Source organism: Homo sapiens, chromosome 11 (genome assembly GCF_000001405.40).
Source record: "Homo sapiens chromosome 11, GRCh38.p14 Primary Assembly".
NCBI lineage: Eukaryota > Metazoa > Chordata > Mammalia > Primates > Hominidae > Homo > Homo sapiens.
This window is the reverse complement of record NC_000011.10, coordinates 95,987,921-96,001,273: the sequence shown is the minus strand read 5'-3', so window position 1 is coordinate 96,001,273 and position 13,353 is coordinate 95,987,921. Positions and strand designations below refer to the sequence as shown.

The 13,353-nt window shown below is 38.4% G+C and overlaps 1 protein-coding gene across 3 annotated transcripts in view; it reads left to right on the top strand.

Moving 5' to 3' along the window:
* MAML2 (mastermind like transcriptional coactivator 2) overlaps positions 1–13,353 on the top strand; it is a 366,598-nt gene that overhangs the window by 341,922 nt on the left and 11,323 nt on the right. For all 3 annotated transcript variants that reach the window (NM_032427.4, XM_011543023.4, XM_047427710.1), the window contains exon 3: positions 9,551–9,754. In NM_032427.4, coding sequence (NP_115803.1) covers positions 9,551–9,754 — 204 coding nt within the window. The remainder of the gene's footprint in view (positions 1–9,550; positions 9,755–13,353) is intronic.

Here is a 13,353-nt window from a genome sequence, read left to right as displayed (position 1 = left end):
CTCCCACTGAAGGCTGCTTTCTCACTCATGGAACTGGTCTCTGTGCCAACCCGTAATACGTGTCCACCCCAGAGGCTGAGAATAGACACAGCGTCCTGGTGACTTAAAAATTGGGTAACATCTGAAGGATAAACTCTGTAGTGACTATGAAATTCATTCTAATCATTTGAAATAAACATTATAAACATATGATTGGGGTTTCTCTGCACGGTGCAGGAGAAGGTACTGAGCAAGTAAAGAAAATTTCCTATTAAATAGAAGGGGAAAGCAGCTACTATTCACAATTGTGAAGGGGAAAGAAGAATACTAAACCAAATACTTTCTTCTGTTTTTTCAAGCTTGACCTTCATCTCCACCACCCAACCTCTCACCCCCAATAAGTTATATCAGATAAGCTACAATTCTTTCAAGCGAATAGACTTTGTTCTGTTTATTTCTTCTTAATATATTTTCCCAGATTTGGGATCTGTGTTCCTCATCTCTCAGTTAGGTGTGTGACCTTGTGCAAGTCAATTCCTTAAACTTTCTGGGCAGCGTCTTTATCTGTAAAATAGAGTTGGATGAAAGATCTGTAAGTTGTTTTTTAGTTCCTGCTGTGTGTAATTGTTACTGAAGTGGAAGGCTAATGTAAACAGATTTTATGATAAATATTTCTTATTTTCAACTTGCCAGTTATCTCAAAGGATTGCTGGGTACTTCATCTAAGGCATTTTTAAAATTTAATGTGAAAGACCAAAGTATCTCACATTATTTGTCCAATACAGCCAAGTACAGCAAGGGTCAAGAAACTTTTTCTGTAAAGGGCCAGGTAGTAAATATTATAGGCTTTGTGTGCCGTAGGTCTCTGGCACAACTATTCAACTCTGTTATTATAGTGGGAAAGCAGCCACAGGCATATGAATGAATGTGTATGGCTGTGTTCCAATAAAATTTTATTTACCAAAAACGGTGGCAGGCTGGATTAGGCCGTCATGCCATAGTTTGCTGACCCTTGAAATAGAAACTGAAAGATCTGGTAACCTGAAGATAGGAGAGTTTCATCCCTTCAGCCTTTTCTGTTTACAAGCTGTTTCCTGGCTGATTTCCTGACAATTGTTTTGTTGTCATTGTTGTTGTCGTTGCTGTGTTAAACAACAACTGCTCAATTATTTTGGCCACCCACAACCACCTCACTATTAATGCCCCAAATAAATAACTTTGAGCAAGTGGGCCTGCCAGCTTATTGGGAATCTGAAACAGTTCAGACAACTTGTTTTTCAGTCACAGAGATAAATAAATGGCTTCATCGGCAGACAGTTCCGAAGATGAATAGCCGAGAGGAACAGTTGAGCAGTTAGTTCATTGAGACAGGGAAAGAAAGACAAAAAGAGGGAAAGAGAGAAGTGGGTAGGGAGAAGAAAGATTGAATAGCAAACCAGTTTGTGAGATCTACTGTACAGACTTGCCCAGCTGGGTATTTTATCTTGAATTTGTTTTGCAAATTGCGGATGCCTAGCTCTAGAAGCCAAGAAAAAGAAAGGGCAGTCATCCCACGCCAAAATACTCTCATGGATCTCAAGTAATTTACATTACTTCATTTTTGTGGGGGGAAAATCATTATACAGTCCCCTTCCAAAATAAGTGAAGAGGAACAGAGAGCTATTTTACCCAAATGCCTAGAACAAGACAAATATTTTGTAGAGCTTTTTTTTTTTTTTTTAATTAAGAGAACAATACCTGCCTGGTAACTTTGCCTACTTTGTGAAAGTTACTGTGTCAGTGTTCAGCCCACAAAACTGCTTTAACTATAAAACTGACTGAATCCAACGAGTCTTACTATTTCTGTATATACTTCAGTGAAACAAGGGATATTTTGTACCCCATTCTACCTTTTGCTGAAATCAATCCTGCCTGACAGAGTCCTTACAATTCCATTGAAATGAAAGAAAGAGGTAGTCCCAGTGATTTTATTAGTTAACATCTTTTTTAAAGATCTCTCACATATTGACCATGATTTACAGAGACACTTTATCAAAGTAACACCTAGTAGCCAGGCCTATCCTCTGCTTTTGGATAGATTTTGGATAGATTTACAAGATTTTCTTCACACATACTATTTCTTTAAATATTTATCCCAGAAAATTTAAAGAAAAGGTTAGTGGTGAATACACTGGTAGAAGGCTGGGACAGTGAGGTTTGTTCTTAATTTTTTAATTTGGACTTTTTTACAAAAGGACTTCAAACTGCCTTTGAGAGAAACACAATTAACACAGAGGACAGGTAATTTGTCTTCTAAGGAAAAAGGGTACCCATTTAAAAGAGTTCATGTGTTCTCCTAATTGTCTCCCAGGTTTGTAGACATAGATTGCAACCTCAGTGAGCTAGTACTTCCCATGGTCATCCATAGGCAAGATATTAAACCAATGAAGTAAAAAATTGGGGAAAGCATTTTTAACCAGATTTTTTTCCATAAGTTAAAACATGCATCCAGCTTCCTTGTGAGCTTACTTAACTTGTGAGCATGTTTTATTTGCCTCAAGCTAAAAGATTCGGTCATCATATACCTGATTTACCAAATGGTCTCCTAACATCCTTGAGACCATTCTAGGAAATAAATGATCCATCAGTAGCACAGTTGGAAAACTTAAAAATATAGTCAAGTGGCAGGATTTTCCAGCAGGCTGCATGAACTTTGTTACCCTCCTAATAAGACTGCCCACAATCCAGGGTGTGACTATGACTATCTCCTCTCCTTGGAGGTAAAAGCGTTGCAAACAAGAACTGTGTCCAAATTATCTCCATTTCTCTAGCACCTGATGAAATGCCCAGGACATAGGTTATTCTTAGTCAGTACCTACTTTTTAGAAAATAAGTGAATGAATGAAACCCATCATGTCCAAAGCATTTTCTTTGCTCAGATGCTGTTAAGAATAGCAGCTTGGAGTTCTGAAGAGCATTCCAAATAATACATCAAGAATGTTTCTGTAATTTTAGCAGAGGTTGAATGATCATTTGCTAGGGATGTGGTAGAAGAAAGTGCACTTTGGAGATTTGGACTAGAATGGACAGGTAAGGAGGTTGGGTACGTAGATGGATGGATGGGGTGGATAGATAGATAGACAGACAGACAGACAGACAGACAGACAGACAGACTGACAGACAGACAGACAGATAGATAGAAAAGTGGATAAATGGGTAGATATAGGCTTTGCTATATAAGGAAGCTGTTGCTATATAAAGAGTCTAGTATCTGTATAGAGTTTGAGTCCAAAATTCTTGAGTATAGCAGTTTGATCAAGAATATCTAGCATCTTCTTAAATGACAGATGAGGATGGAAACATTTTAAAAATATATATATATATGACTGTATTATGAGATCTTCACTACTGATTTGAGATAATTTTAAAACATTCTCAGAGTAAAAGAGCAGAGATAGGATGACTAAATACTAGCAGTGGTTAGGGACAGAGCAGTGAATTTCTAATGACAAGGCCAAAGCCTTAGAAGAAGAGGATGCTCACCAGTGGGCCTTAGAGTGGGCTCGGGACCACTTGTGTACAGCTCAGAAATATTGAAATGAAGATCTCAAATGCTTTTTGATTGGGATGGCATTTTGAGAAAAAGATGTGTATCCCACTAAGCGATTATGATTCTAAAACTCATAAAAATGTTGTTTGTTTTAGGTTCATGAGAAGTCCCTTCAGTATCTTTTTACTGCTTTATCCCCAAGGCCCAGAAGAATGCAATGCTTAATAAATACTTGTTGAATTAATGAATAAGAATGCAGTGAACTTAATAATTCTAAAGACAGGTTGATTGATTGAACCTTATAAAAAGAATACAAACATGTTTTCATTGGTCTGGCAGTCCTGTGCTGGGTTAAAACAGGGACCAAGAAGTTTTATCCATACTTAAGCACTGGCATGCTACACTATCTCAGGGACTAATACTATAAAAAGACTTTTAAAAATCTCAAATGCGCATGCACACACACACTCACAAACGTGGAAAACTATCTAGGAGTACACAATAAATATACGTTATTGTGCACTCATAATTGATTTAAAACCCAGGAGGATTGGATGCGAAACCTATTTTGTAGGTTAGAACCAAACTCTGTAATTTTGTAGGTAAAAACAGAAAAAGAACATGTAAAATGAAAGATCATGCAAGTTCATGATTTGAACCAGTCATTGACTATTCCTTGCTGCCAAATCAATCTTTAACTACGGTTTGTCTAGAAAACTGGGTTTTCTATTATGTGAAAGACTACCTAGATGGAAATAGCCTAATTCTTTCACAATCACACACATGCATGCATGCACACATACACACATACTCTCATCTATCAGCTGAGAATGTGCGATTTTTACCACAGCCTTCATATGCCCTTCAGGAGAAAATGTGTGTTGGGGAAAAAACAGATGATTTCTATTAAGTTCTACATGGGTTGAATTTAAGGCAAAGAGTGAGGCTGAGTATGAAAATCGAAGCCAATGCATCAAAGCAGTTTTTTCTTTCAAACTATTTTATGTACTAAAGTTTGCACAACATGTTGGCAATGACAGCAAGCTTGTATAAGGAGGTGTTTTGTGTTTTACAGCAAACATAAGGGCAAAAAAATGCAAGAGCAGTGAAATATTACTTCAATCATGAATTCAAAGAATGTATATAGTAGGTACATGGTAAAACCCATGAGTTAGAAACTACAAGATTTAAAAATCTTTTACAAAATTACAAGAAAGGATTTATCTCATTCTTTCCTCCATACCAGGGCACCTCCCTTCACCCAAGCACCAGTTTCAAATTTGGAAAACCCTTCAGACCCTAGGGAAAAGGGTCCTAAAGTATCTTTTGGTACCGTGAAGGAAATAAACTACATTTAGCACAGTCTATCTGTTTGATTAGAGAGAGAAAGAGACATAGTTACATTTTCCTGGCATGCAGATCTTTTATAAATCTTAGAAAAGGTTGGTTTTCCAGAATTCTCTGGAAGTTATTTTGGAGCTCATCAATTCTGCCAACATTGAGCACTCTGTCTACCTCTTTTCTTTCTCTTCATTTTCCCCATTTCTAAGTACATTTTGGTCTCTAGAAAATAAAAAACTGCCTAGCACAGAGTAGACATTCAGTATACTTTGTCAAATGCATTAATGGATTGATGGATTCATGGGTGACTAGGCATTAGGTGATCTGAGATTGATTGATTGATTGATTGATTGATTTTTCCTTCAACTTTTAAGTTCCCGGGTACATGTGCAGGATGTGCAGGTTTGTTACATAGGTAAATGTATGCCATGATCTGGGTTTTAATCTTAAGACACTAGTAGGTATCATACCACCTAATGGAAATGATTATGCATTGCTTTTTGTTGTCATAACTTTGGGTGAGTGGATATGTGGAGTGTGTGGTATGTGTAGCTTATCTTCCCAGATAAACTGTATGCCAGAGATCTTAAACTCAGATGGCCTACATGGACCAGGCAAATGATAGAAGTGAGGAAAATGGGTGGGTATAATAAAGTAAGGAATAGTAGAGGCTGCTGTGGCCACCTGGAGAGCAAAAAGAGCAATTTGTGTTTCAAACATGATGGGGGCCAAACACACCACATCTGTAGTCCAGGTACACTTACAGTGTGAGCTCCTTCATAAGACTCATTGGATATAAAACATCTAATATTTAAAAATACAGAAATAACAAAATAATAATAGTTAAAGTGTATCAAACATCTCTACTAAGTCCCTGGCACTGTTCTAAAATTCATCTTGTTAAATTTTAGGTAATTAATGTATTACCTTTATGTTGCAAATGAGGAAACTAAGGCACGGTACTTAGTAAATGTACATGATTGCACTATGCATAAATAATTGGATGTTAAAAGAATAAAAACCAGAACAGCAAAGAGCAAAGCTAACAGAGACCTGAGCTAAGCCCCTAACTGAGAAGAAAGAAGCACACCCCAAAAGACAGCCCATCAGAGAATGATACCCCACCCATCTTCTGGCATCTTCAAGTAGGAGGATGAAGGTAATTTCCCAAATCCCTGGCAGCTCATAATCTGCAATATAACTGAGACCTCTACATTTCTCAGAGACCTGACACAGAACAGCTTTCTGTAGTCTGCGAGTTCTATCTCCTTTGTTTCACAATGAAAACAAACGTAAACAGACTATTGTTCCTATGTGTAGAAATAACTTTAATAATTATGAGCAGCTATTGTTTAGTAAGTGCTTACTACGTGGTAGGTATTGGATTATCTCCCCTAACTCTTGTAGGGAAACTGTGACATCCATACTGTTATTATTTCCCTTTTACAGATAAGAAAACTGAGGCTTAGAGAGGTGAATTAACTTCTGCCACATCACACAACTAAGTGTCAGAACTGGGGTATGAACCAAGGTGGACCTATCTCCGGAGCTTATGGTCTTGTCCATTGCATGGCAATGCAAAGAAGATGAAAAGAAAAGTGTTTTGAATTTTTCTACCTATGCTTGTCAGCTACTTAAAAAAATAAACCAAAACAAAAAAACACAAAATCTTCTTTTGAAAGTCTTACATAAAACTCCAAACTAACAAAGAAAAGAGCAGACTCTTTCTATTCTGGTTCAAGTGGAGAGTAGAAAGCAAACTACCATCTCCAATACATTCTCTCCCACCTTGATGTCTTCCCCCACCACTTCCAGCTGTCTTTACGCTTCCCTGATCCTGCCTCTTTCCCCCTGTCACAGGCTCTGCTTCCCTGTCCTTACTCAGGGTGCACCAAAAGGCCCAGCCCCCAATCCTCCATGTATTTCCTCCTCCTTTTGCCCTCCAAGACACTCAGCTCACCGATCCTCATTTGCCATTCTGTCAATGACCCTCAAGTACTTGTCTCCAAGTCCACATTCTTAGTGGCTTATAGAACACAGGCGGTGAAGTCTCCGAAATTCATGATGGATTTAAAGTTGAAAGAACTGACTGGTCATAGGGGTGTAAATATATTAGAGGATGGTTTCCTTAAGCTGCTCAAAGGATGTACCTCAGAGATGGCTGTAATTATTTTTTACTAACTAGTGAAGAGGATCTCCCCACCCTGTCCTCACTCCCCTGTCCTTCTCTCCAACACACTTCTTTCCACCTTCCTGACCTGAGGGTGCTCAACCCTGGGAAGAGTGCTGCATGAACTGATGGGTTGGCCCAGGTTTAAAGTACAAAAATCTTTCTTCTCAATGCTTCCTGTCTCACGTGACAGGCAGTAAAGTGTACTGATTGAGAACTAGAGTTGTGGGGTCAGACAGACCTGGCTTCAAATCCTCCTCGGCCACTTACAGCTATGTGATCTCTCTGAGCTCAGGTTTCTCATCTGCAAAGTTGGGTTAATAATACAAGTTCTTGCTCATTGTTTTGTTGGGAGGAGTGAATGAGATAAATCACGTAAAGCACGGACCACAGTGACTGGCTGATAATAAGCCTCAGTGGATGGTCGCCCTTAGAATTATTTTGTAACCCTTTGCTTTTGAGGCAGCTGGTGAGCTCTGTAGCCTCAGAGATTACTAAAGCAAGGCCAAGGCTTTCGGCTTGTGGCTTACTTACTTACTTGTTTATTTATTTCAGCTCGGCACATAGTTAAAGAAAGAGAAAGAAATAAAAAAGATAATTTCCACAAACAGTGTACCTACCACCTCTACTCATGTGGTATCATGGGAGTTGCTTTGTGGTTTTTTGTTTGTTTGTTTTTGTTTTGAGACAGAGTCTTGCTCTGTCACCCAGGCTGGAGTGCAGCGGCACAATCTCGGGTCGCTGCAACCTCTGCCTCCTAGGTTCAAGTGATTCTCATGCCTCAGCCTCCTGAGTAAGTAATTGGGATTACAGGCATGTGCCACCACACCCAACTAATTTTCATATTTTAGTAGAGATGGGGTTTAACCATGTTGGCCAGGCTGGTCTCAAACTCCTGACCTCAGGTGAACCACCTGCCTCGGCCTCCCAAAGTGCTAGGTTTACAGGCATGAGCCACCGCACCCAACTCCCTGCTTAATGTTTTTATGTCTTGTAACCTTACATAGTTTAGTTGGTGAATGACAGATGGATTTTTTTTTTTTTTTTCTGGGCACAGTGCTTCATGCCTGTAATACCAGCACTGTGGGAGGCCAAGGATCTAGGATCACTTGAGCCCTTGACTTTGAGACCAGCCTGGGCAACATAGTAAGACCCCGTCTCTAAAAAAAATTTAAAAATTAGCCACCCTGTCTCTAAAAAAAATTTAAAAATTAGCCAGGTGGCGCACGCCTGTGGTCCCAGGCACTTTAGGAGGCTGAAGTGGGAGGACTGCTTGAGCCTGGGAGGTTGAAGCTGCAGTGAGCCATGATTATGCCACTGCACTCCAGCCTGGGTAATAGAGTGAGACTCTGTCTCTTAAAAAAAAAAAAGAGAGAGTTGGATTTCTTTTGTTCCCATGTATTCAGTGTTTCCCAAAGCATATTCCCTGGACCAATGAGTATCAGAATAACCTAAGGAGGTACCCTGATCTATAGCCTCAGAATCCCTGGGACAAGGCCAGGGCATCTGCCTTATAAGCTGATTCCCAGATCATTCTGATCAAAGTATAACAATTTTTGACTTAGTGTTTATATCATGTAAACTAAAATTTGATTTTACATTTTCTTATATTTATACATGTAAGCATTTCTCCCTCACTTGGGTGATAAATTCTCTAAGGTGATAACCATATTTTCTAGTCTTCTTGTAACCCTACTAGTGTACTAGTGTAGAGCTCAATCCTAAATACATCATTGGGAATTAATGAGAATATTCAACTGGGTTTAGCTTACTGTCTTGCAGAGTCCTGATCTGTCAATGCCAAAAAATTGGTAGAGACCTCAAATTAGAAAGGCAGTTCACCAATACCCAATATTATTTGATATACAGTTGAGTTTTTAATCAATATTTTCTCATTGTCAGTGTGTCGGGTATTCTTTTACTGAGATTCTTGCGCCGAGATACCTGAATTGTTGACTGCGGAACAAAATTTACAAGGCCCTGAGAAGTGAAGTCCTTTCCAAGTTTGAGTTTATAAAACAGAAACTTAGAGGCCTTCCTGCCTTTCTGTCACAGAAAGCTGGGTAAGGCAAAATGCCTTCTGTCCAAAATAGTTTCAACTTTTAAACACGTGAATTAAAACATGACTTTCATTGCAGGATCAGCAATGATACATGCTAACTTTGGGAAAAGGAAGGATTTGTTAGGTTATGATGTTTATTCCTGAGAAATTGAGAGGTTTGCCATATGTTTTTATGGTAGTTTTCTTTGAGGTTCCATAAACACCTTCTGGAATGTGGAGGTTCCACAATCAGAGTCCTCATGGGAGCTTTTCCAGTGCCCTAATGTCATTAACCCAGCTGCTTTGGTTGCTGTGTTATGCAATTATTTCTTCTACATTTAAAAAGCGATTCTCTGATCTCCAACCCATTTAACCATGTTTGATCTTTAATAAGATGAAAAATGTTTGGAATCTGAGTGTATGATCTTTGTGCTACATTTTTCTTTTTTTAATTCACAGTAGCTTTTCCTTCCCCCTTTCTCTTCTTTAGGATCAACACTCTGTGGTAGGCCAGAACACAGGCCCCAGTCCAAGTCCTAACCCCTGCTCAAATCCAAACACTGGAAGTGGTTACATGAACTCCCAGCAATCACTGTTGAATCAGCAATTGATGGGAAAGAAGCAGACTCTACAGAGGCAGATCATGGAGCAGAAACAGCAACTTCTTCTCCAGCAGCAGATGCTGGCTGACGCGGTAAAACTTTCTCTTAATTTCTACTGAACAAACCTGTTGACCCAACAGAGGGAGTTTATTCTTTTCCATTTATATTTACTGTGCCTACTTACGTGACAGCAACAAAGGTGTGCTGACTGTAAGAGAGGATAATTCCATACATTTAGTGTACTGCAGGAAGAAAAAAAAACCCAAACTTGATTTAACAACTGCTGGACACTTGGAATGCATGGCACCTCTGCTAACCAGCCCTGCCCAGCCCAGGAATGTCTAGAACAACCAACATGGGCATTTGAATCAGGCAAAAGAAACCAGTGTTGTTCCCCAGGCTTAAGGGGCAGAAACAGTAAACTGAACTTGAATCAACTCAAATCCAAACTGATTTTAGAGATAAGAGTTTCAAAAGCAATTTTAAAAGCCAACATGGAGCCTCAAAACCAAGATTTGGCTTCCAAAATAAAGCAACTCACAATGGGGGATTTTTTAAAAGAAAATGTAAAATACATTTCCCATTTGCACTGTATATATTAGGTTGATGCAAAAGTGATTGCGATTTTTGCCACTACTTTTAATGGCAAAAACCGTAATCACTTTTGCACCAACCTAATATTTGACTGTTTAAGAAAGACAAGATTGTGTTTCCCACACACTCTTCATGCATTAACCCTCCTTCAGTATTTATCTGCTCAGCCCTGGTTTCATTGCCTCCCTTCAAACTATTTGGCCAAATGAAATAAAAAGTAAGCATCTCCAGGTGAATTAGAGCTAAAGTATACAGAAAAGATAACAACAAAATCAAATAATTTTATATTCAAGGAGCTTTGTAGTGAGAGTCAGAAATGCAGGGTATCACAAGTGCTATAATTATTCAGTAAATAATAATTTGCAATGAGGGGAGAGCCATAAACAAGGCAAATCCTCTCTTCACCCTAGAGAAGCCTTGAGCCCACTGAGGATATGTCAGATAAATTGGCCAATTGTAATGCATGTGATTAAATGCCATACTCTGGTAACTACTAGAAATGATTTCAGAAAGAACTTTCTATCTACCGAATATCTGAAAGTGGAGTAAGAGATGAGTAGGAGGGTTATTTCAGCCAGAACAACCAGCATATTCAAAGACCTAGGGACAATAAAGGATACTACATATTATGCCTGCCAAGGTATTGAGTGTGCACGAGAAGGGGGAATTGATGGGTAAAGATGGGATAAGAAGCAGGAGGATAGGGCTTGAGAGGCCAGAATTTACATTAAAAAGCAACAGAAGAGATTTTAAGGATTTAACACAAGGGGAAGTACTAGATTCAGATTTGCATTATAGTAAAAGTATAAAATATACTAAAAAGTATAAAAAGTAAGAGAAAAAAGTATACTTTTTACAGTAAAAAGTATAAAAAGTAAGAGAAAATGTAATGGAAAGAAAGATTAAATCCAGCCTGCAAAGATTGAGGATAGTCTCCCAAAGAAGTAAAATTTGACATTGATTTTGAAGGACTGTAGGATTCTGATAGAGTAGGTGGGGTCCACTATTGTAGGTGGAGGGTGGAGCACCAAAAGGTGCAGCCTGGGTGTGAATTTGTTGGTGAGTTTGAGATTGCATTATGAAATATTTAATGCCTGATAAAAAGTAAACATAGTATAACAACCACACTTTTAAAGGAATTACAAGTGGAATAAGTTTCGTATTCAGGGCATGTGAAAAGAAATAGTGAGAAGTAAATTTATTTGACCTGGAATAAGGAATATTGAGAAATAAGATTACAGATGACGTTGAATACTGCCATAAGGTTTAAGGGAGTCACAGACTGGATCACAAAGTGACACAACTGGTTTCTTCTAGAAATCATAGTTTTGAAAACTCCAGTCCTCCCCCCTGTTCCCTTCCCCTCCCATTTTTATCCTTATAAGCTAAAGAACTTAGAAACAAGGACAGCAGAGAGAAAAATGTGTAATCTAAGGTTGACTTACTGGGTACACTTTCATCACTACCATCAATACTACTAATTTCATGAATTATAACACACAGAGGTTGATTTTCAGCTCTTGTTAAAAGGCAAGGAAGTGGTAGCATATACATTCCATGAGGGTCCTGGCCTGGCACTGGGCTAACTCCCACTGGGCCCCAGTTGAGTCACCACTAGGACAGGTGCAAAGGGCAGTGGCATAAACTGTGAGATGAATGAGAATGAGGCTGCTGTTTTTGTGATTTTTAAAAACCATTCACATTTCTCTTTGTTTGGACACCATTGAGGGTGTCTGTGCTTTTTAGCATATCCAGGAAGAAGTGGTCTTTGATACCACTGTACATTAGCATATGCTTTGTGGTCATTTGCAGTCAGTTGGCAAGGCCACATAGGCACCTAAATTGAGACGTTGTCTCATGAAAGTTTGTTATCCTTATTCTCTATTATTCTCCTACCAATGAAGCACAAAGAAGAGACATGAATAGTACTTATTACAACGGACATCGTAATTACCAACACGCATTGTGTACCTACTGTATGCCAGGCACCAAGCTGGATTTTCACAGAATTAAATAGAAATATGAGGGAGGTCCTATAATTATCCACATCTCACATTTTTACAGATGGAGAAACTGAAGCAGAACAGATATGTACTATAACAGATGATTTCTATAATGGGTTTTCAAGTCCAACAGATTGGGTTATCATTAGATATTAGTTCATAAATTAAATTTCATATTGCATAAAAGTATTCTCAAGAATGGCCTATATGTTTACACTTGCACAGAATAGGAATGTCAGTCTTTTGCAAAATGTAGCCATCTCTATTCAGTATTGCAGGCTAGTCTTTGCTGCTCTTCAGCACAAAAGAACAACATGGCAGTTCTGTGTTATGTCCATATGCAAGGTTATTAATCTAAGTCATTTGTGAACGAGTAGTTTAAGAAACCTAAATTTCTGGATATATATATATAAATGATATATGTAATATAAATATTATATATAATAATGTAAATATATATAATATAAATATATATACTATAAATATTATATATATATAAATGAAAACCCTTTGAACAACAGTTTAGCCTCTGGTGGAGACAAGCCTGACAAACATGGTAAAACTCCGTCTCTACTAAAAAAATACAAAATTAGCTGGGCATGATGGCGGGCACCTGTAATCTCAGCTACTTGGGAGACTGAGGCAGAAGAATCGCTTGAACCTGGGAGGCAGAGGTTGCAGTGAGCTGAGATCGTGCCATTGCACTCCAGCCTGGATGACAAAGTGAGATTCCATCTCAAAAGAAAAAAAAAAGTCAATAATTAGATTGAAGATATATAAAAATAAATCCAGGTTTACAATATAGTCTATGATGGGAAGTCAAGCACCTTCTTCTCTTTATCTCTCTCTTTCTCTCTCACTCTCACACATACACACACACACACACACACACACACACACATCCTGTCTTCAGTATAAACGGTAGAAACACCTAATTACATAAGAAAGAATGACAGATGCTTTTGGAAAAGAGTGGATTTCAGAAAGTCCATGCTGGCATAAAATCAAAACTGTCATCTCACACAACAGTTTACAGCAGAGCTGGTTGAACATCACCACATTTGGGTTCATGGAACATCTCAAGCTGTTTCTTA